The 23252-nt window shown below is 39.0% G+C and overlaps 1 protein-coding gene and 1 pseudogene across 2 annotated transcripts in view; both read right to left on the bottom strand.

The window, feature by feature from the left end:
- The window catches only part of MARCHF5 (membrane associated ring-CH-type finger 5), a 62798-nt gene that overhangs the window by 7902 nt on the left and 31644 nt on the right, over window positions 1-23252 (bottom strand). The window contains exons 2-3 of one of the 2 annotated variants that reach the window (XM_047425382.1): window positions 12438-12593; window positions 5260-5390 (exon numbers count right to left, since the gene is read on the bottom strand). In XM_047425382.1, coding sequence (XP_047281338.1) covers window positions 5260-5390; window positions 12438-12453 — 147 coding nt within the window. In that variant the 5' untranslated portion in view covers window positions 12454-12593. The remainder of the gene's footprint in view (window positions 1-5259; window positions 5391-12437; window positions 12594-23252) is intronic. The other variant, NM_017824.5, reaches the window with a different exon arrangement.
- On the bottom strand, window positions 11502-11595 carry RNY3P12 (RNY3 pseudogene 12; annotated as a pseudogene).

Below are 23252 nucleotides of genomic sequence, written 5' to 3'. Positions count from 1 at the left end.
CGATTTTGGGGTAAGCTCCAGGAATTATATAGAATGTCTAAGAATTTGTTATCTATGTATAAAATAAAGGCCTGGCTGGGCACAGTGGCTCACGCCTGTAATCCAAGCACTTTGGGAGGCTGAGGTAGGTGGGTAACTTGAGTCTAGGAGTTTGAGACTGGGCAACATGGTGAAACCCTGTCTCTACAAAAAATACAAAAATTAGCAGGGCGTGGTGGCATGTGTATGTAGTCCCAGCTGTGCAGGAGGCTGAGGTGGGAGGATCACCTGAGCCCAGGGAGTTCGAGGATGCAGTGAGCCGTGACTGCGCCACTGCATTCCAGCCTGGGTAACAGAATGAGACTCTGTCTCAAAAAAAAAAAAAAGAAAAAAAAAAAAGAGAAAAACAAAAGACCTATAGAATTGCAGGTTTAGAGAAAAATAATTTTTTGTTTTTCCTGCAGAAGGGCTAAAAGCTAGATTTTCATATCTAGGTAGGCCTGCAGTTCATTGCTGCTGAAAGGCTAACAGTTTTAATTAAGGTCTGAGCTTTTAAATTATTATTAGAATTCTACATTAATTAATTAGAGACAGAGTCTTGCTCTGTCGCCCAGGCTGGAGTGCAATCTTGGCTCACTACAACCTCTGCCTCCCAGGTTCAAGCGATTCTCACGCCTCAGCATCCGGAGTAGCTGGGAATACAGCCACTATGCCTAATTTTTTCTTTGTATTTTTGGTAGAGATGGGGTTTCATCATGTTGACCAGGCTGGTCTCCAACTCCTGGCCTCAAGGGTTCTGCCTGCCTCAGCTTCCCAACGTGCTGGGATTACAGGCATGAGCTACAGCACCTGGCCAGAATCCTAACAAGAGGATGAAACAGTGATGAAATAACAGGGTTTTTTTTTTTTTAACTCAGAATCAAGGATAAGTAAGTACTGTAATTAAGAATGGGCAATGCTAATGGGGGCTGTCTTTGCACTAGAGGCAAAAATGGGAACTAGGCTAAACATATTAAGGTTCCACTGTTCCAGGATAAAATGTTCCAGCTGCCTCTGGGACCAGGCTTCACTTAAGGAGCCAAGGGACAGGAGTCCTAATGCTTCTCTGCTGTGTGGCACTGGACCTGTAAACTCTCTAAACCAGTAAACTAGGAATAATTTATAACAATAATCTATGTCATAAAATTGTTGCAAGGGTTAAATGCATCAGTGCTAGGTGTTCAATACAGTGCCGAGAAAAAAAAATTATTGTGTTGTCTTTTCAATAAAAATGCAAGAGGAAGGTCCTATTCAAGTTCCCCACAACTAAAAAGTATTGATTCTATGACAGGTCCATGGAGAAGGAAAGAAAATAAATGGGAAAATAACAGTGATCTGATTCCTTGATTTGGTTTACTTGTACTGCAGGGTTGTTAAGGAATCAGAGAAAAACAATCAAGTGTTAGAAGGCAAACCCTAAATACTACTGATGGTGTAGAGGGGCACATTCTCTATCATATGTGCTCAGGAAGGTAAAAGTCATCTTCCCAATACTCTTAAATCACACAACACTATCCACCTACTGTCATAGCTAGTCTCATTTCTGGGCTAAAAAAAAAAAATCTTTTCAAGTGAGACATTACATGTGAAGGTTATTTCTAAATGGTAACACATATGTGTACTATAGTTTTTGCTTCCTTGCTTATTTCATTCTACCAATTCAAATTATTTCCTTTAAGGGTTAGCTCAAGACTTTTCTCATAATTTCAAATCAAATTATCTTTCACTTTTACTGAATTAAAATATTGTTTATATAGTCTTCTGCCCTCTTATCACATTTATCTATCTAACCTGTAACTGTTCTCCAGTGGTTTCATTTATGAACGTCTTGTCTTGGACTATATCCCTTGATGCTGGGGATCAGAGTTTTCAATTTATTTGTGTTTTAACAAGTGCCCCATTAATTATCAAAATTCTTTTAACATTGTGCCAGCCTAAAAATCTTTCTTAAAAAAGAGCCATCTCACTTCTTATGGTCAATAAAGTCTTAAGAAAATAACTCAATCTCATTTGCAAAATATATATATCTATATAATGTATTTGTACATTAAATAATGTATAATCTGCTCTAAGTTTCTATGTCTTTCTCAGTCTTAGTAAATCATCCTGATCCTCCCTCCTCAGGTGATGTACTAATACTCATTATTTGAAGTGGTCACATAAAAAACATAAAGACTGCCGGGTGCAGTGGCTCACACCTGTAATCCCAGCACTTTGGGAAGCAGAGGCAGGCAGATCATCTAAGGTCAGGAGTTCCAGACCAGCCTGACCAACATGGTGAAACCCCATCTCTACTAAAAAGACAAAATTAGCTGGGCGTGGTGGCACATGCCTGTAATCCCAGCTACTCGGGAGGCTGAGGCAGGAGAATCGCTTGAACCCGGAAAGCGGAGGTTGCGGTGAGCTGAGATCACGCCACCGTACTCCAGCCTGGACAACAAGAGCGAAACTCTGTCTCAAACAAAAAAACAAAAAACAAAACCACAAAGATTTATGAAACCCTTTAATGTGTTAGTTTCTATGTAGATGCTGTAACAGGGAATACAGAAGCATAAAATGGACTCTGCTTTCAAGGAAATTACCTCCTAACAGGAAAAATAAGGCCTAAAAACAAGAAAAGTTAAACAGATAATCTATATAAGAAATGTCACTTCATCAGGGCAGGACTAGCTGCCATTTGAGGAATAAAAATGTCATGAATGTGGGGGAAGAAGGAATCACAGCAGGCAGGAGTTGCCTGTAAGTTCTATGGAGGAAAGCTAGCTAAGCCTGGAAGGAGGGTTTAGATTTGGATAAGTACACAGAAGACTAGAAGGGCAGGTATTAGGTTGGGAAGGTGACGTAAGCCAAAGGACAGAGGTGAAAAACTACACAACATAAGGATGGGTTGGAGGAGACAGCCCAACAGCCTTAAAGCAGAACGAAGTACGATTACAGAGGACCCTGTGTATCAAATCATGCTAAAGTTCAAGTCAGTGGTTCTCAAACTTTATTCACTACACTCATGTCAGATATGTTTCACTGTTTGTGATTCATTTAACTGTATCCATATTTTTGGGATGTCATCATCATTTTATAAGGAAGTCTCATAATACTCTGTCTCACCATGACCATTAATGGAGCAAGCCATAAAGGTTTGACCCTGGCATAGATACATATGCAGTTCCTGGAATATTAGGTAAAATTCCAAGCATTCCTTTTTTGTTCATGTAAATTCTAATTTATATTAAAGAAAAGCAAATTATATCATCTACAAACCTAAGTGTGTTCACTACTACAGAGTTACTTAGGAAACACTTAACCAATCTAGATGCTGCTCTTGAAGACTACTACTTAAGGCAATGGAGATGTTAAGCTGGGGAGTAAGATTTTGAAGGTACTATTTTAAGAGGATTCATTTGGAAGGATGGATTGACAGAAGAACATGAAGTCAGATAAACCAAGAAGGTCCTTTAGCCATCCAGGTATGATGAAGTGACAAGAAGTCAGGTGGTAAAGACTGTGGAAAGGAAGCCACAGACACAAGACACATCAAAGTGGAAAAACTGCTTGTATTTGGTCAGTGGACTGAATAGAAGGCTATAAAATAGAAAGACTAGGCCAGATGGGCTCACTAGGCTTGTGATCCCAGCACTTTGGGAAGCTGAGGTGGGAGGATCACTTGAGGCCAGGAGGTTGAGACCAGTCTGTACAACACAGCAAGACCCCATCTCTACAAAAAATAAAAAATTAGCTGGGCATAGTGGTGTGTGCCTGTAGTCCCAGCTACTTGGGAGGTTGAGGCAGGAGGATCGTTTGAGCCCAGGAGTAAGGCTGCAGTGACCCTTGATTGCGCCACTGTACTCCAGCCTTGGTGACAGAGTAAGACTTTGTTTTGTCGGGGGGCGGTTTGTGGGGAGTATTGAGGGGGGTGAAGAGTCAAACGTAATTCTAAAAATATAGGATGGGCTGGGTGCAGTGGCTTACACCCGTACCTCCAGCACTTTGGGACACTTTGGGAGGCTGAAGTGGGAGGATCACTTGAGCCCAGGAGTTTGAGATCAGCCTTGGTAACATAGTGAGACCCCTCCCACCATCCTTAGAAAAAAGTAGCTAGGCATGGAGGCACACACCCATAGTTCCAGCTACTATGGAGGCTAAGGTGGACAGATGACTGAGCCCAGGAAGTTGAGGCTGCAGTGAGCCATGACTGTGCCACCACATGCCCAATCTGGGCTATGCAGAGCAAGACCTTGTCTCAAAAAAAAAAAAAAAAAAAAAAAAAGGATGTAAACTATAGATGGGAAAATAGAAACAGAAACAAAGGAACGATGACGGAGAATAAATTTAGGTTTCAAATGGAAGAAGTGACAAGTTTGATTTCAATAATTTTGAGTATGAAGTCACAAGAGATCATTGCAGCACTGGATTTGAGAAAAGAACAGGACAAAAGACCTGAACACACAAAAAAACTAAGTTGATAGCTGGAAATCTTTAAGAAGAAGGTATAAAAAGAAGAGTCAACGGCTTGGGACTAAATTTTGAAATTTATGTCTCTCTAATATTCAGCAGCAGTTACTGATTGTAGCACTGTTTTTCTTTCCTTTTTTTTAATTTTTATTTTTGACCACTTATCCAAGTTCTATGTAGCACTGTTTTTTTTGAGATGGAGTCTCGCTCTGTCGCCTGTGCTGGAGTGCAGTGGTGTGATCTTGGCTCACTGCAACCTCCGGCTCCTGGGTTCAAGCAATTCTCCTGCCTCAGCCTCCTGAGTAGCTGGGATTACAGGAACCTGCCACCACTCCCAGCTAATTTTTGTATTTTTAGTAGAGATGGGGTTTCACCATGTTTGCCAGGCTGGTCTCGAACTCCTGACCTCAGGTGATCCACCTGCCTCGGCCTCCTGAAGTGCTGGGATTGCAAGCTATGCAGCACTGTTTTTATAGCAAAACATTGGACTAACTAAACGTCTATCCACAAGAGACAAGTTGGTTAGTAAATGGCTGTAATTCTATAGATAGAACGTTATGCAGATTTCTGCATACTTATATGAAATGATCTCTAAGATTCACTATGAAAAAAGGGAGATACAGCTATAATATGCTCCTTTTTGGGTAAAGAAAAAGTAGGGGAAATAACATTTAGAAAGAACATGAGAATGTTATTTCTTATTCAAAATAATACACTTTTAAATGTCTAACAAAAAATGTTTTAATAGATCTTCACACCAAGTAATATCACTATATAGGTAAAATAGTGAACCTGCATCACTGTCACTGCTCCATAAGTCACAGCTGTCCAATAGATAGAGCCGACCATTATTCCTGCTGCAGCAAATGGACAGGCTTTTGAGATCAGTCTATCTGCAAGATCCAAGACGTAAACCACTGGACCTATAACACACAGAAAAGAAGTAAAGGTTCAACACAGGGTGAACTTTTAAAATGACTTGTTTGATATTTTCTATAGATCTAAAATACCTTCCCCCCAACAAGACACAGGGTCTCACTTTGTCATCCAGATTATAGTGCAGTGGCATGATCATAGCTCACTACAGCCTCAAACTTCTGGGTTCAAGTGATCCTCTTGCCTTGGTCTCCCAAAATGTTGGGATTACAGGCATGAGCTACTACACTCAGCCTAAAATACTTTCATGAAGTTGGATGTTTTGATGCTTTAGAAATAACTGTTATAAATTTGATGGGAACCTAGACTAGAATAGTTGAGAATTTCTCAGTCATTTGCACGAATAGCTAAATATTACTTCATAAATTCTCGTAAACAGCCTCCTCAAATTATCTTTATTATTGAACCTAAAATTAGAGTCTCAAATATAGTTACTTCTTATAAAGGAAATAGTCCTCTCACTTTCATCTCTTAATCATACTGGCCACGGTAGAGTGAAATGGTCATTTCAGCTTGCTTTTTCCATCAAATTCCTGGCAACAATTAGATTCTCGTATTTAGTAAGAATATCATTTCTCTGACTTCACTCACTGTATACCTTGATACAGTACATAAAGGTAACCAGGGCCATTTTCTTGTATTTACATAATGTCAATTTATCTCTCTTTGATTTTCAATATGCTGTATTTAATTGAATATTATTCTCTAACAAATTTCTTTTTATGATTATGAAGCCAGTTTTTATAGCATTCCAACAGCTCTATGTACCAATTATGTTCTATTATTATATGCTTACTCTGAAATCTGACTACTACTTCCTTCTGAAAGTTATTTGGAAAAGCAGCATTTGGAGGTATTCTGACTGCCACTAAGCCCAGTATAATTTAGCTCCAGAATTTTCCAGAAGAATGGAAGGGTCTCAGCCCTGATTTAAAGGCCAAATATAACTGAATATCTAAGTTTATTTATTTATTATTTTTATTTTTTTTTGAGATGGAGTCTCGCTCTGTCGCCCAGGTTGGAGTGCAATGGTGCGATCATGGCTCACTGCAACCTCCGCCTCTTGGGTTCAAGCAATTTTCCTGCCTCAGCGTCCTGAGTAGCTAGGATTACAGGCGTCTGCCACCATGCCCAGCTAATTTTTGTATTTTTAGTAGAGACGGGGTTTCACCATGTTAGTCAGGTTGGTCTCGAACTCTTGACCTCAGGTGATCCACCCGCCTCAGCCTCCCAAAGTGCTGGGATTACAGGTGTGAGCCACCGCACCCAGCCAGCTATTTATTTATTTTTGAGACAGAGTCTCACTGTGTCACCCAGTCTGGGGTGCAATGGTGGGATCTTGGTTCACTGCACCCTCCGCCTCCTGGGCTCAAGTGATCCTCCTGCTTCAGCCTCCCAGGTAGCTGGGATTACAGGCATGTGCCACCACGCCCAACTAATTTTTGTATTTTTAGTAGAGATGGGGTTTCACCCTGTTGGCCAGGTTGGTCTTGAGCTCCCGACCTCAGGTGATCCACCCACCTCGGCCTCCAAAAGTGCTGGGATTACAGGCATGAGCCACTGCATCTGGCCCTAAGTTTATTTTTTTAATTTAATTTTTAATTTTTTTTTTTTTGAGACAGAGTTTTGCTTTGTTGCCCAGGCTGGAGTGCAGTGGCACAATCTCGGCTCACTACAACCTCCGCCTCCTGGGTTCAAGTGATTCTCCTGCCTCAGCCTCCCGAGTAACTGAGATTACAGGTGTGTGTGAGCTACCAAAAAAATATGAAAACTTCTTAGAAATGTGTAAGAATTATTACCTACCTTCTGGGAGCTTATAATCTAAAGGCAGATGCTATACACAAAAACTGTTTATTTTCCCTATACAAATAAATTAACATAGGATTCTGATGATAAAATAATGAAACATGTAAGAACAAAGCATCCATCTATGGAGCCTCTGATCAAGACTCCCTGCTGATCACTGGAGCCAATAATATCGCTATGTCACTGTATGAAGACAGACTATACATTGTAAAGTAGAGAGAACATTAGAAGAGATGTCAAAGGACTGTCATTTATAATATGTATAGCATATTTACTTATTACTGTCAAGCTCTAACTTACATAACATTTAAAACAATGATAAGGTATCTTCTGGGACCAGAGAGATGAAATAAGTCTAATTTAGTGCACACCAACTCTATATCCTCTAATAAATAGTTAGCATTTCTTGAGGGTCTATAAGAGACTGTGTGCTGTGCCAAAGGCATTATTACATGCATCATTATTTAATCTCAGAATATAGTGCTGAATTCTCAAGACATACAAATTTGCTGGGTTAAGTTTATAACTCCTTCAGAAAGCACAATAAAAGTCATCTTAGTCACCAAAGATCCCTCAAATGCTAGTAGTAGAAGTTAAAGACCGTAAGTATATATAAAACCTCAGCACTTCAACCTTCGTATGGTTGATAATTCGATTTTTTTTTTGAGACAGGGTCTTGCTCTGTCACCCACACTAGAGTACAGTGGCATGATTATGGCTCACTGCAGCCTTGACCTCCCCAGCTCAAGCGAGCCTCCCACCTCAGCCCCCAAGTAGCTGGGACCACAGATGTGCGCCACCATGCTTGGCTAATTTTCTTTATTTAAATTTTTTTTTTTTTTTGTAGAGATGGGGTCTCCCTGTGTTGCCCAGGCTGGTCTGGAACTCCTAGGCTCAAGCAATCCTCCCACTTCAGTTTCCCAAAGTGCTAGGATTACAGGCATGTACCACCATGCCTGGCCTGGTAATTTTTTAATCAGAAAACTGAAGCCATAAGAGAACATTTATCGACGCTCTCCAGCACATGTACTCATCAACCAATATTCCACCCATCTGAAGTCAATCCCCTCACTTATGCACTAGATGATCCTATCCCCTCACCAACTCAAGGCCACAGCTCCAGCAATTATCTCCCACTATCCTACATAATTTCTCCCTACTCTTTACTGGATCCTCATCAAACAAACATGCTATTATTTCTTCAGTGTTAAAAAAAAAAATTAAAACCAAATTATTTTCTTGAGCCTTTTTGCCCCACTGCTTCATTTCATTGCTCCCTTTGCAACAAAATTCCCCAGAAGAACTGTATATGTTTTATTTATTTTTATTTTTTTTGAGACGGAGTTTTGCTCTTGTTGCCCAGGGTGGAATGCAATGGCACGATCTCGGCTCACTGCTGCAACCTCTTGCCTCCTGGGTTCAAGCGATTCTCCTGCCTCAGCCTCCTGAGTGGCTGGGATTACAGTTATGTGCCACCACGCCCGGCTAATTTTGTAGTTTTAGTAGAGACAGGGTTTCTCCATGTTTGTCAGATTGGTCTTGAACTCCGACTTCAGGTGATCCGCCCACCTCAGCCTCCCGAAGTGTTGGGATTACAGGTGTGAGCCACTGCGCCCGGCCCTCTATCTCTCTCCTTAGTTTTGAACCCACTCCACCAAAACTGCTTATCAAGGTCACTAGCAACCTCCATTTAGCCAAATCTAATCTCAGTTTTCCTCTTTTTTTTTTTTTTGAGACAGAGTCTCACTCTGTCACCCAGGCGGAAGTGCAATGGCGTCATCTTGGCTCACTGTAATTTCCGCCTCCTGGGCTCAAGCAGTCCTCTGCTTCAGCCTCCCAAGTAGCTGGGACTACAGGTGTGCACCACCACGCCTGGCTAACCTTTGTATTTTTTGCAGAGATGAGGTTTTGCCACGTTGCCTAGGCTGGTCTCAAATTCTTAGGCTCAAGCGATCTGCCCACCTTGGCCTTCCAAAGTGCTGGGATTACAGCAGTGAGCCACTGGGCCAATCCCAGAACATCTCTCGTTTTTCTTTCTATTTCACTACTCAATTTTCAGTCTCCTTTGCTGGTTCTTTCTCTTTTTAGACATGGAGTCTCACTATTATATTGCCCAGGCTGGCTTAACCCCTGGCTGAAGTGATCCTCCCATCTAAGCCTCTTGAGTAGCTGAGACTACAGGTGTGTGCCACCATGCCCCTTCCTCTTCTTCTTGACCTCAATGAAGCCCACCCTACGAACCCCTACTTCATCACACTCCCCATTTGATTACCTTGCTCTATTTTTCTTTTTCCTAAAGCACTTATCACATAACATACCCTAATTTACATATTAATTATGTTTCCACTTACTGTAACAGAGGTTGGGAAACTAGGGCCTGTATGCTAAATTCAGACATCTGCCTGTTTTTGTAAATTAAGTTTTATTGGAACATGGGCACATGCAAAGTCTAAAATATTTACTATCTGGTTCTTTACAGAAAGGTTTGCTGATTTTTGCATCGGAAAATAAGCTCCAGGCCGGGCATGGTGGCTCCCACCTGTAATCCCAGCACTTTGGGAGGCCAAGGTGGGCGGATCACCTGAGGTCAGGAGTTTGAGACCAGCATGGCTAACATGGTGAAACCCCGTTTCTACTAAAAATACAAACAATTAGCCGGGCGTGGTGGTGTGTGCTTGTAATCCCAGCTACTCAGGAGGCTGAGGCAGAAGAATCGCTCGAACCTGGGAGGCAGAGGTTGCAGTGAGCTGAGATGGCACCATTGCATTCCAGCCTGGGCAACAAGAGCGAAACTCCGTCTCAGAAAAAACCAAAAAAACAAAAACAAACCTCCAAAGGGAAAATGATCTTTGTTTTCATCATTGATTTACCCCAAGTTCCTACTACTCTCAATCATTTGTTGAACTGAATTGTCTTGTACTTGGAACTACCTACTGATGGAGTAAAGCAATATAATTCCTTAAAACAAAATTCAAATATTTGAATGAAAGCATAATTCCTAAAATATAACCCATCACTATTACTTTTATCTATCATGAACAGTGACAGCCTACAGATGTTTGAATTGTTTTTCTTGTTTTTCCTTGGAAGATCTCAGAAGCTTCTAACAAGCTCAATTTTCTTCCTGAATCATTGGGTGTGAATTCTTTTGAATAAGAAAAAAAAGTCTTCATATTTCCTCTTTGGAAATTTTCTACTCATCTCTTGTGTTATAGGCAAAAGATGTACCAGATAAAATGGAGGCAAAGGTTGCATTTTATAGCACCTAATTCTAGTTTTTCTGACAAAATTCTGTCTTGGCTTTTCTCTTAAGTTTACTTTGTCTAAATCTCTTAAGGCTTTTCCAGACACTAGTCTAAGATTAGCTTAATACTTAAAAGAAAAGATAAATGCCTAGTGCTAAGCATACCATTAGAATAATAAACTGCCACCCAGGGGAGGTATTTCTGAGAGCTAAAGATTATCTGGCAAGCTATTTGGTGAGTAAGAACAATCACTGAAATCTTTTGGAGGACAGTCTCTAATTCATACTCTTCCTATGAAGTTTATGTGCTACTATCTCATGATTTGGGGCCAGGGGTTGTAAACTTAGGAAAAAAGCAACATTTATTAGATTCTTATTGCTGTCAGATTACACCACAAAAAGTTATGGGAAGTAGAAAAAGGCAAGACAGCAGCCTTTGAAAACCTTAATTCTGGTGGAGAGGAAGAACTATAATAAATGTACCTTACAAGTTAAATATATAGGGGCTTGAGAAAGTTTCAATATTTTCAAAAGGTATTATTGAATTTTTAATGCCTTAGTGGGCCTCAACACTTATGTTTCTAATAGCACTGTATTTACATAACGAATGGCAACTGAAGCTTTGTATAAATATTAAGTTTTGAAAATCTATTAATTTAAAGGGCACCAGAGAAGCTTGGAATTAGCAGGGAAACTATTACTTCTTTTGTATAATAAAGAAGCTTTTGTAAAGAGAACAACTACACCCTAATATTCTGGGTAAATTCAAGTTTTCACGTTTCAGACATGAATGACATAAAAAAGTGAGCTGAGAACTACTGGGGCTTGTAAGTCAATGTCTACTAAAAAAGAAGTAATCAGTTTTGTCTGGCAGACATAGCAAACAAAAGTAGATTTTTGCTGCCACTGTAATATAAATTAAAATTTATATTTTGGCTGCTAAAGGTACACCTTGGAAGTTCAGAAGTCAATGACTGAAGGGCAGGTAGGTAATACTTAATGTTCAGCATTTGCTGGCATTGCTTATAATAACACCCAGAACTCCTAGAGGCTAGTCAAGTGAAGCTGTTGGAGTGGAGAAGAAACAAAGAAATATGTAACTGGTTGTGATCAATTAGTTGTAAATACCAATGCACTTGGACTGGCAGAGAAACATAATTCTATACTTTGTTGTGCGAAAGTTTCTAACACAGAACATGATTTAATGAGCATAAACAGGTACTTTACAAGACAACCTGGTATAAGTTTCTGAGACGATAAGTTCCTTCTGTTAAGTGGCCAATAATTTATAAAAGAGATTCAACAAGCAAGACAGACTGCTCACAGAAGCCACTCAAGTTCCCATGTTTTTTCTGTTTGCTTTTTGCTTTGCATTGAACTGATTTCGACCTAGACCAAACTCAAATGCCAACTTTCTTCCGAGACAGAGTCTCGCTCTATAGCCCAGGCTGGAGTGCACTGGCGCAATGTCAGCTCACAGCAACCTCTGCCTCCCGGGTTCAAGCGATTCTCCCACCTCAGCCTCCCAAGTAGCTAAGATTACAGGTACATGCCACCACACCTAGCTAATTTTTTTATTTTTAGCGGAGATGGGGTTTTGCCATGTCACCCAGGCTGGTCTAGAACTTCTGGTCTCAAATGATCCACCCGCCTCGGCCTCCCAAAGTGATGGGATTACAGGCGTGAGGCACTGCACCCGGCCCTCAAATGGCAACTTTCTAAAGCTAAGACACCAACCCCATTTTCAGAGCCACCCAGAAGTACAGATTTTTGAGGCCACTGACAGTTTAACAATATAAACTTTCATCCTTGCTCCAAGTCTTTTTGCTACATGTCTGGAATGTCCTGTCCTTACTTTGATTAAATCTGTATAAAAATCCAACTTCTCAGCAAAGACTAACTTAACTTGATAGAGGCTGACTACCCCACCCTGTCCATGTCCCATGAGGCTTCCTTTACATACTACCCCACAAAATACACTTACCCCTTTGCTTGTGCATAATGTTAGTACTTTATGTTCTTGTTCAATGTTTGTTCAGTTGTCTCAATATCCTTTATGTCTGTCCATGTCAGCATCATCTTAGACTGAAAACTCCCAGGGGGCAAGGGCCATGTCTGTTTAACTCGTTTTGTACAGTGCCTAGGACAGAACCATGTACAGATCGGTGCTTAAAAAATGCTTTTTAATGATGATTGGCATCACTCTCAAGGACCCTCTGGGCCACAGCTATCTCAGCACATGGTACTTGGCAGTATGGGGCACTTTGGCCTTTTCTACAAGGCACTGGAATATAATGGCACAGGACCTAGCCACAGTACTCTGTGGCCAGTACTTGACTCAATCTGTTGTTAAATGGACATTTTAAGGGAAAAAAAAAAAAGTATTAATTATATGGTCCCAAGCCAACAAACGTGAATTTTTTTTTTCTTTTTTTTTTTTTCTTTTGGCAAGACGGAGATTTACTCTTGTTGCCCAGGCTGGAGTGCAATGGTGCGATCTTGGCTCACCGCATCCTCCGCCTCCCAGGTTCAAGCGATTCTCCTGCCTCAGCCTCCCGAGTAGCTGGGATTACAGTCATGTGTCACCATGCCTGGCTAATTTTGTATTTTTAGTAGAGACGTGGTTTCACATGCCCAGGCTGATCTCGAACTCCTGACCTCAGGTAATCCGCCCGCCTTGCCCTCCCAAAGTGCTGGGATTACAGGCGTGAGCCACCGCACCCGGCCAACAAATGTGAATTTTATTGAAGATATCAAGTAATACAACAAACTTGATTAAAAGTATGTGGGAGGCTGGGTGCGGTGGCTCACACCTGTAATCCCAGAACTTTGGGAGGCTGAGGCAGGTGGATCTCAAAGTCAAGAGATTGAGACCATCCTGGCCAACATGGGGAAACCCTGTCTCTACTAAAAATACAAAAATTAGCTGGGCATGGTGGCGTGCGCCTGTAATCCCAGCTACTTGGGAGGCTGAGGTAGGAGAATCACTTGAACCCAGGAGGTGGAGGTTGTAGTGAGCCAAGATTGCGCCATTGCACTCTAGCCTGGGCAACAAGAGCCAAACTCCGTCTCAAAAAAAAAAAAAAAAAAAAAAGGATGGGGAATCCTAATGCGATAGTAAAGAGTTTTACCTCTTTCTCTAGCATTCCCCACTGTTTTAAACACTACACTTTGGAGGCTAGGTCCAAGAGCCCCAGAAAAGTCGCTTATGTAAGTTTCATCTCTGATTGACTGCTCTGCTGGTAGTTTGAGATTTCACCATCTTTATGTAAGAACAAACATCCTGCAAACTTACGCTGTAAGTTACTTTGCTTAATAACAAAAGGTTAATCATTAGATTGTAAAGAAGGGATATGTTCTTGGACAACTTTTTAGATAACTAAGTTAATTATATATATTTTATTGTAGAAATGGTATCTTGCTATGTTGCCCCAGCTGGTCTCAACCTCTTGGCTTCAAGTGACTGGCATCCCAAAGTGCTGGGATTATAGACATGAGACACTATGCCTGGTCCAAAATAGTATCTGACCAAAAAAAGAAAAAAAAAAGGACCCACAAACAAACCAACTAACCCAAACAACCCTGAAGAATAAAAGACTTCAGGTCAAAGCAGATGAGTGATTATATATATACATATATATATACGATTATATATATACATATATATACGATTATATATACATATATATGATTATATATACATATATATGATTATATATACATATATATGATTATATATAAAAACATATATATGATTATATATGAAAATATATATGGTACATAGTTATATATGCTATATCTATAAATTCATATATTGCATTTCCATGATTAATCACTGAAGATCACCACAGTAGTTCCTTATGATTATATAATTTATGCCAAGGGAAATTTTAAATTTATACTCATAAAATAATAGGCTACAGAATACTTGTGAGCTGTAAGGTCAACTACTAAGTACTTATTAAGCATCTATTGTAAACACATTTTACTACGTATTAAAATAAATGTAAATTATATTTAACACACTAGCTGCTGCCCCCTAGGAGTCTACAATCTAGTTAGGGACAAACAATATACATAAAACAACTGAAAACTTCCAATGCAAAATTAATAAAGATATGATAGTATGGTACAAACTATACAGATGTTAAGAAAATTTTAGGTAAAGATTATGGGGGGGGAGGAGGTAAGGATACAAACAGTTTTTAAAAATTGCTGTTTGTTTTGTTTGTTTTTTTAAATAAATGAATCTTGACCTAAACTTGAAGTCTCTGATGTGAAAAGAAGGCCAATTCCAAGTGAAGAAGAAAAAGCACAACTGAATCAAGGTAAAACCAAGCAGGGCATGCTAAGAAGAGCCTTCTAACTGGAAGTGAAAAACTTTGCTGAAAAAAGTCACCACCACCAATCATCCTTTATTAACACATAAAAACAGCTGGCAGCACTAATTATGCACATACTACATATATGCCAGTTAACTGTATAACACAGTCTTTTTTTCTTTAAACATATGTGTATATTTTTCACATTTTCCATGATGATAATATAATTGTTCTTATTAATAAGAAAAACTGTATTTTAGAAAAGAACAATGAGTTATAAACTTCAGGTAACCATTACCCTGAGGAAGGTAACCTGACATTACCACTGAATTTTCTTCTTCCCTGTATATGAGAAGGTTGTGTATTAGGCTCATTAGGCTGTAACAAAACAAGGTGGGTAAGGATTAGGTTGGGTCTGCTGTGTGAATTGGGACAAAGTGCCATCTCTGGGCCTGAATTTCTGCATCTGTACAATGAAGGTGTTATGTATATCAGAGTTTTTGTAAAAATTAAAATAATTCATATGAAGCTCTTAGTACTTAATGTTACGTAGTAACGATCTTGTGTCAGCTATTATTTCTTCCAGTTCTAAACTATATGGTCACCCCAAAAGGGCAAACGATGTTAAACATTATAGGACAGTGGAGTAGAAGGCATAATCAAAGACAGCAGGTGTCTGAGAAAAAACTTGTGGTATATAGCTCTGGAATACAAATAAGACAATTTCAGGAAATCCTCAGGTGAGAAATAAAGAATAGGTGCCCTTTTCCTTAAAGATCCAGGACAAGGAGCAAAGGAAGGAGTCAAAGGAGCCAAGAAATCTGGCAATGTAAAGGGAAAATGAAGACATCAAGAGAATTTAGATTCTCTTGATAAAGAGCAGTTATCCTCCCCTCCTTTTAAAAAAAGATTGTATAGTTATGTTTTGGACCTGTAATTCAGCTACTTTTATTCATATACAGTGTGTACCCAGAAAGTCTCACACTGTTGAAAGATACTTCTTAAAACTAATCTACTTTTAAGACTTAGGGAGCAAGACCAAACATGATCCAGCAGTAAACAAAAGGAACTCTTATTCTGAAGGTATCCTAGTCATTTGCCTCACAAGAAGGTAACCAATGAGGGCTACAAAAGACTAAATGAAGGGCCAGGCATGGTGGCTCATGCCTGTAATCCCAGCACTTTTGGAGGCCAAGGCGGGTGAATCACCTGAGGTCAGGAGTTTAAGACCAGCCTGGCCAACCTGGTGAAACCCCGTCTCTAATAAAAATACAAAAGTTAGTTGGGCGTGGTGGTAGGAGCCTGTAATTCCAGCTACTCGGGAGGCTGAGGCAGAACTGCTTGAACCCGGGAGGCGGAGGTTACAGTGAGCCAAGATTGTGCCATTGCACTCCAGCCTGGGCAACAAGAGCAAATCTCTGTCTCAAAAAAGACTAAATGAGTTCTCTAACTATAAACTTTGACAACAAAGATTATTCAAAGACTAAATCACTATGGAATAGGACTTAGGTTTTTAAATTTTTCTTTATTTTGATCATACATAGGAACTTCTATATAGCAAAGTAAAAAGAAAACATTTCTCTGAAGGCTAAGTGTAAATATTACTAGAAACTTTTATTAATATGAAGAGAGTACTTGAGTTCTTAAGTCCATATTTGTTTTTTAGGTAGTGAAATAAACCAATGATATATTTTATGAGCAGGCAGAAAAGAAATAGGTTGAGTTCATGTGAGTGACAGAAGGCCATGTGGCTAGAGGAAAAACAATGGGGAGTATTTTTATGGAGTAACTGATACCTTGGGATTTATCAGTCAAAAATATAAAACCCCCATAAAATTGAAGCCATGAAGTTTTAAGTTTGGGGAAAATATATTTCTTACTCTATAGTACCCTTTTACAATCTAAGTATTCTTACTTTAAAATGGTTTAGCCTCCTCACTGATAAAGAAATGTGTATTAAAACTACAATAAGTTATCTTTTCTTAACAGACTGGCTAAAATCTCAGTTTGCTAACACATCCTACTGGCAAAGCATGAGGAAATAGGCACACTCACATATTGCAGGTGAATACACAAAATGATTCAGCACCTGTGGCAGGAAATTTGGCAATACCCAGCAAAATTCTATGTTCAATTTACCCTCTGACTCAGCAATCTCTTCTTGATTGATAACATAAATTTTCTAAGCCAATAAATGAAGAAAGAATGAAAACATTAGAGTGACAATGTTTTGTATTACTTAATGAAACAATGGACCTAGAGGCAATGAAAAATAAATTATCAATCTCTGCTAAAACTAGGTGGAAATGAATAGGCAACTTTACTGAATGGATCAGGCTGATAACACCTATACACACTGATCGGTCTTATCATAAAAAGAACAACTACACATTATGTGCCTTGTGATGTGATGCAATAAGAAGCACACAAACTATCTATCAGATATTCCTGTAAAAAAAAAAAAAATATATATATATATATATATAATAACCTCACTGACAAGATCTAAACACCAGTTTACACAAAATGCAGAGGATAGGGCAACATATTAAACAGCCAAGTGTTCGTAGTGTATCAGCATAACAAAGCCCAGGAAATGAAAAATTCTATCATAACAAAAAAAGGAAAAATGTCTAATATAACTCTACTCAGAGTTCTACAAAATGAGAATGGAAAGAATGGGGGAAAAGCAATATCTGAAGTGATAAAAGCCAAGACTTTTCAAGAATAACCACTTAGGTAGAGAAATAAAGCATAAAACTTAAAGGAAAAAGTAGGACAAATAGAATGCACAAAATCTGATGATAAAAATCCAGCTATATCAGTATCACAATAAATGTAAAAAAGAACCCAAAAGAATTAAAAATAAAAGGATGAGAAGAGATAAACAGGGCAAAATCAACACCACCATTGAAAAAGCTGGCAAAAAAGGGCAAAAAAAAAAAAAAAAGTAACTTTACAGTGGAGAAATGTGGCAAACACTACAACAGCCAAATAATCAAGGTCATAGCCAAGAGGAGTGTAAGGAGACATGACTAAATGTAATGTGGTATCTTGGATAAGATTCTGGAACAGAATAAAGACATGTGAATTACATTTAGTCATGTCTCCTTACACTCCTCTTGGCTATGACAGTTTCTCAGACTTCTTTGCTTTTGATGACCTTGACAATCTTGAGGAGTACTGACCAGGTATTTTGTATAATATCCCTCAACTGGAATTTGTCTGGTGTTTTTCTCATTATCTCTTGGAGTTAGGAGTTTCAGGGAAGAAGACCAGAGAGGCAAAGTGCAATTCTCATTGCATCAGATCAAATGTACATAATACCTACATGAATCATTACTGGTGATAATGACCTTGATTATTTGGCTGTTGTAGTGTTTGCCACATTTCTCCACTGTAAACTTACTTTTTTTTTCCCTTTTATGCTAGCTTTTTCAAGGGTGTTGTTGACTTCGCCCTGTTTATCTCTTCTCACATGAAACTGCGATATATTCCTTTTCCACAAATGAAATATTTCATAATAAAAGAGAAAAAAAATACCTGAGTGAGCATTCTGCTGAGCTTTGGTCAATGCTAAGGCAGCAGATATAACTAGTTCTGTGTATTGATAGCAGCATGTTGGCAAAGGCAATGGGGAAGCAGGCACTCCAATACACCGTTGGGAGATTAAATGGGTGTAATCTCTACAAAAGCCAATTATAGGATATCCATTATGTTATAAATGCACATACCTTTGACCCAGTAATTCTATTTCTAGTCATTTATCTTACAGATGTATTTGCACACATGCATAAAATTACTTCCCAAAGTTGTTTATGAAAGTACTGTCTATAACAGTAAAAGATTGGAAACAAGCCTGTATGTCCATCAATGGAGGAAGACTGATTATATAAGTAATCATACATCTATGTATGAACACAGTTTTTTTTTTTAAAAAGCTCTTTATCCAGGCTACTTTTAATAGAAAAAAAAAAAAGCTCTTCATATATGAATACAAAATGGTATCTACGATATACTGCTAAGAAAAAAAAAAAGTTTAGGCAACCTTGCCCTCTAGTTTCTGATGTGTTCAAATGATAGGAGAGACCAGAACATCAGAGAGTGGTAAAAGTGTTAAAGTTTTTTTCCCTGGTTCCCTCATTGCAAGTAGCTTGCAAGTAGCTTGCTAAACCCTGGGTACTTCCCTCTCCCTTGATGTTCCTTTAACTCTTACGTTTGTAGATTCTGTGTAAGTGTAGGGAGAGAGGGAGAGGAGAAGAATGAAGGAGAGAGAAGAAAAAGAGAAACAAACTGCAATGAAATACCAGAAATTTATAACGATAGTTATAATTTATAACCAAGTAAGAAAACTTACTTGGCACCATGGCTGGCAGACATAGTAGAAAGACTTTTCATTAAATATCCTACTGTACCTCGTGTCTTTGAATTTTTGACTGTGTCAATGCATTACCTGGGGGAAAAATATAAACTTAAACATCAAATGAGTTAAAAAAAAAAAAAACTGCTTATGAGATATTGCAGTTGCTCCATCTTCTCTTTGATGTATTTGCTATTCCTTTCCATTTCTAGCAAAGCAAATATCAAGAAAGAAAAGAGAACAGGCAATTTGTTAGTGCAGGCACCTAGCTATCATTTTGTTTTTTGGCAATACACTTGTCTTTCAATTCTAGTGGTACCAACTCATAAAATTTTTGTTACTTACACATCATTTGTGTAATTTATTAACAGTCTCTCAAATTAATTCAAATTCACATTATCTCTATTAGTTCTTATGGTACTAGAAACTACTTATCCATATGTGGCCTATTAGCTGACTCACTGAGTGACAGTAACAAGAAATTTGCCAGTGTAAAATTCTGGCTCCTTGCTTTATTTGCTGGAAGCCCATGGGCTTCCATTACATAAATTTGCTGAGTCTACTTCTTATCTACAAACTGAGGACAATATCTATTATGCAGAGCTTTCGAGAGGTTTAAATAATATAGGCAAAGTGATCGACATAGTGCCTAGAATGAAACAGAGAATGGAAGAATAGGCAATAGGGGCCTATTAGCAAATGATAGCTATTGATATTTATTGTAAAATAAAATAAAATAGTTACAACTATTAATTTTATATCCTAGATTCTCTAGGAAGGTTTCTCCCAGGAATTGGTCCTATTCATCCCTAGTGAAAATCTTTCCCTTCTAAGCATTTACACTCCACTTAACATTTGACAACCACTTTTTGAGGATGGTTACTGGTAAAATTCTATATAAGAAGTTTCAATTAATGTTTAGTTATAAGAGCAACAATAAAATAAGAGTAGCTGGGCACGGTGGCTCATGCCTGTAATCCCAGAACTTTGGGAGGCCAAGGCAGGCGGATCACTGGAGATCAGGAGTTTGAGACCAGCCTGGCCAACATGGTGAAACCTCATCTCTATTCAAAATACAAAAAATTAGCCAGGTGTGGTGGTGCACACCTGTAATCCCAGCTACTCGGGAGGCTGAGGCAGGAGAATTGCTTGAACCTGGGAGGCAGAGGTTGCAGAGAGCCAAGATCGTGCAGCTGCACTCCAGCCTGTGCGACACAGCAAGACTCCATCTCAAATAAATAATACATAAATAATAAAATAAAGATGACAAAAATTTAACTTGAAAACTAAGAATTTACTCTTAATGAGATATAAGAGAGCTGAAATAGCTATACAAATATTGGTCAAGGGATTTTTATGACAAAATTGCTATTAGAAACAAAAAAGGATATTTTATAATGGTAAAGGGACAATCCATCAGGACGACGTAACAATTATAAATATGTGCACTTGACCTAACAATTATAAATATGTGCACTTAACAGAGCGCCAAAATAAATTAAGCAAAGACGTATGGAACCAGAGGAACAGGCAATTTAACAGTAATTGGAGACTTCTATGCCCCACTCTCTCTCTTTTTATTTAAGACATAAGGTTTTACTCTGTTGCCCAGGCTGGAGTGCAGCAGTGCAATAACAGCTCGTTGCAGTCTGGAACTCTTGGGCTCAGGCAATCCTCCTGCTTCAGCCTCCTGAGCTAGCAGAGACCACAGGCATGTGCCACCATGCCTGGCTAAAGTTTTTCTTTTTCTTTTTTTTTGTAGAGACAGGGTCTCACTATGTTGCTCAGGCTGGTCTTTAACTTCTAGGCGCAAATGATCCCCCCGCCTCGACCTTCCAAAGTGCTGGGATTATAGGCACAAGCCACCACTCACCACTCTATTTTAAATAATAAACAGGTAAAAGATAACAAGGAAATGGAAAACTTGAAAATACCAGAATCAACTAGACATTTATAGACTACTCCAACAGCAGCAGAATACATGTTTTTCTCAAGTGCACATGGAACATTCTCCAGGATAAACCTACGTTAGGCCATTAAAAAAAGTTTTAATATAGTTAAAAAATCAGACAGAGTATGCTCTCTGATCACAATGAAATAAAAAAAAAATCAGTAACAGAAGGACATCTGGGAAATTTACAAATATGTGAAAATTAAACACTACATTCCTAAATAATCAGTGAGTCAAAGAAGAAATCACAAGAAAAATTAGAAAATATTTTGAGATAAATGAAAACCCAACAAAAATTATGATATACAGCTAAAGCAGTGCTTAGAGGAAAACTTCTAGTTGTAAATGACATTAGAAAATGAGAGGCCGGGTGCGGCATGAGGTCAGGAGATCAAGACCATCCTAGCTAACACAGTGAAACCCTGTCTCTACTAAAAATACAAAAAAATTAGCCGGGCGTGGTAGCAGGCGCCTGTAGTCCCAGCTATTCGGGGGGCTGAGGCAGGAGAATGGCATGAACCCAGGAGGCAGAGCTTGCAGTGAGCCAAGACTGTGCCACTGCACTCTAGCCTGGGCAACAGAGTGAGACTCCGTCTCATAAATAGATAAATAAATAGAAAGAAAGAAAGAAAGAAAAGGAGAAAGATTAAGAGAATGAGAAGACAACCAAGGAGAAAAGATCTGCCCAAGACATCTGACAAAGAACTTTTATCCAAAATATCCAAAGAACTCTTAAAGGTCAACAATGAGAAAACTATCACTCTGATTTTAAAGTGTACACCTCATCAAAGAAGATATACAGATGGCATATAAACAAATGCAAAGATGTTTCACATCATATGTCATTAGAAAATTTCAAATTAAAATGAGATACCTCTATACATCTATCAGAATGACCCAAATCAAAAACACTGGCAAGGATGTGGAGCAACAGGAACTCCCATCCATTGCTGGTGAAAATGCAAAATGGTACATGGTACAGCCACTTTGGAGGATAGTTTCAAGGCTTCTTACAAAACTAAACATACTTGTATCATACAATCCAGCAATCATGCTCCTTGGTATTTACCCCAATGAGTTGAAAATTTATGTCCACACAAAATTCTGTACATGGATGTGTACAGCTTTATTCATAATAGCCAAAACTTGAAAGCAACCAAGATGTCTTTCAGTACATGAATGGATAAACTGTGGGACATCCAGACAATGTAAGAGTATTCAGTACTAAAATGAAATGATCTACCAAGCTACAAAAAGACACAGAGGAAATTAAATGCATGTTACTAAATGAAAGACAATCTGAAAAGGCTACATACTGTACGAGTCCAACTATATGACCTTGTGGAAAAGGGAAAACCATGGAGAAAAAAAAAGATGTATGGTGGCCAGGAGCTCGGGGAGGGATGAACAGATGGAGCATAGAGGATTTTTAGGTCAGTGAAACTATTCTGTATAATACTATAATGGTGGATACATGTTATTATACAGTTGTCAAAACCCTGAATCAACCCTTTATACATTATAAATTATACAGTTGTCAAAACCAAGAGTGAACCCTAATGTAAACTATGGACACTCTGGGTGGTAATGATGTGTCAACTTAAGTTCGCTGACTGTAAAAAATGTAACACTCTGGTACAAGATGTTGATAGTGGGGAAAGTAGTCAGCACTCTGTGTGTGTGTGGTCAGGGGTGGAGGCTGGCATATGGTTTACTGTGAACCTAAAAAGGCTCTAAAATCTATTTAAAAATAACAGAAACAGAAAGAGGGGCTGGGTGCAGTGGCATACACCTGTACTCCCAGCTAACCAGGATACTGACGCAGGAAGATCACTTGAGCCCATGAGTTCAAGGCTGCAGTGTACTATGACTGCACCTGTTAACAGCTACTGCACTCCAGCCTGAGCAACATGGCAAGACTGAAAAAGAATAAAGAAGGTGGCTGGGGACCGGTGGCTCACGCCTGTAATCCCAGCACTTTGGGAGGCCAAGGTGGGTGGATCACGAGGTCAAGAGATCAAGACCATCCTGGCCAACATGGTGAAACCCCGTCTCTACTAAAAATATAAAAATTAGCTGGGCGTGGTGGTGCACGCCTATAGTCCCAGCTACTCAGGAGGCTGAGGCAGGAGAATTGCTTGAACCCAGGAGGCGGAGGTTGCAGTG

This window comes from Homo sapiens, chromosome 10 (genome assembly GCF_000001405.40).
Source record: "Homo sapiens chromosome 10, GRCh38.p14 Primary Assembly".
NCBI lineage: Eukaryota > Metazoa > Chordata > Mammalia > Primates > Hominidae > Homo > Homo sapiens.
This window is presented reverse-complemented; position numbering and strand designations above follow the sequence as displayed.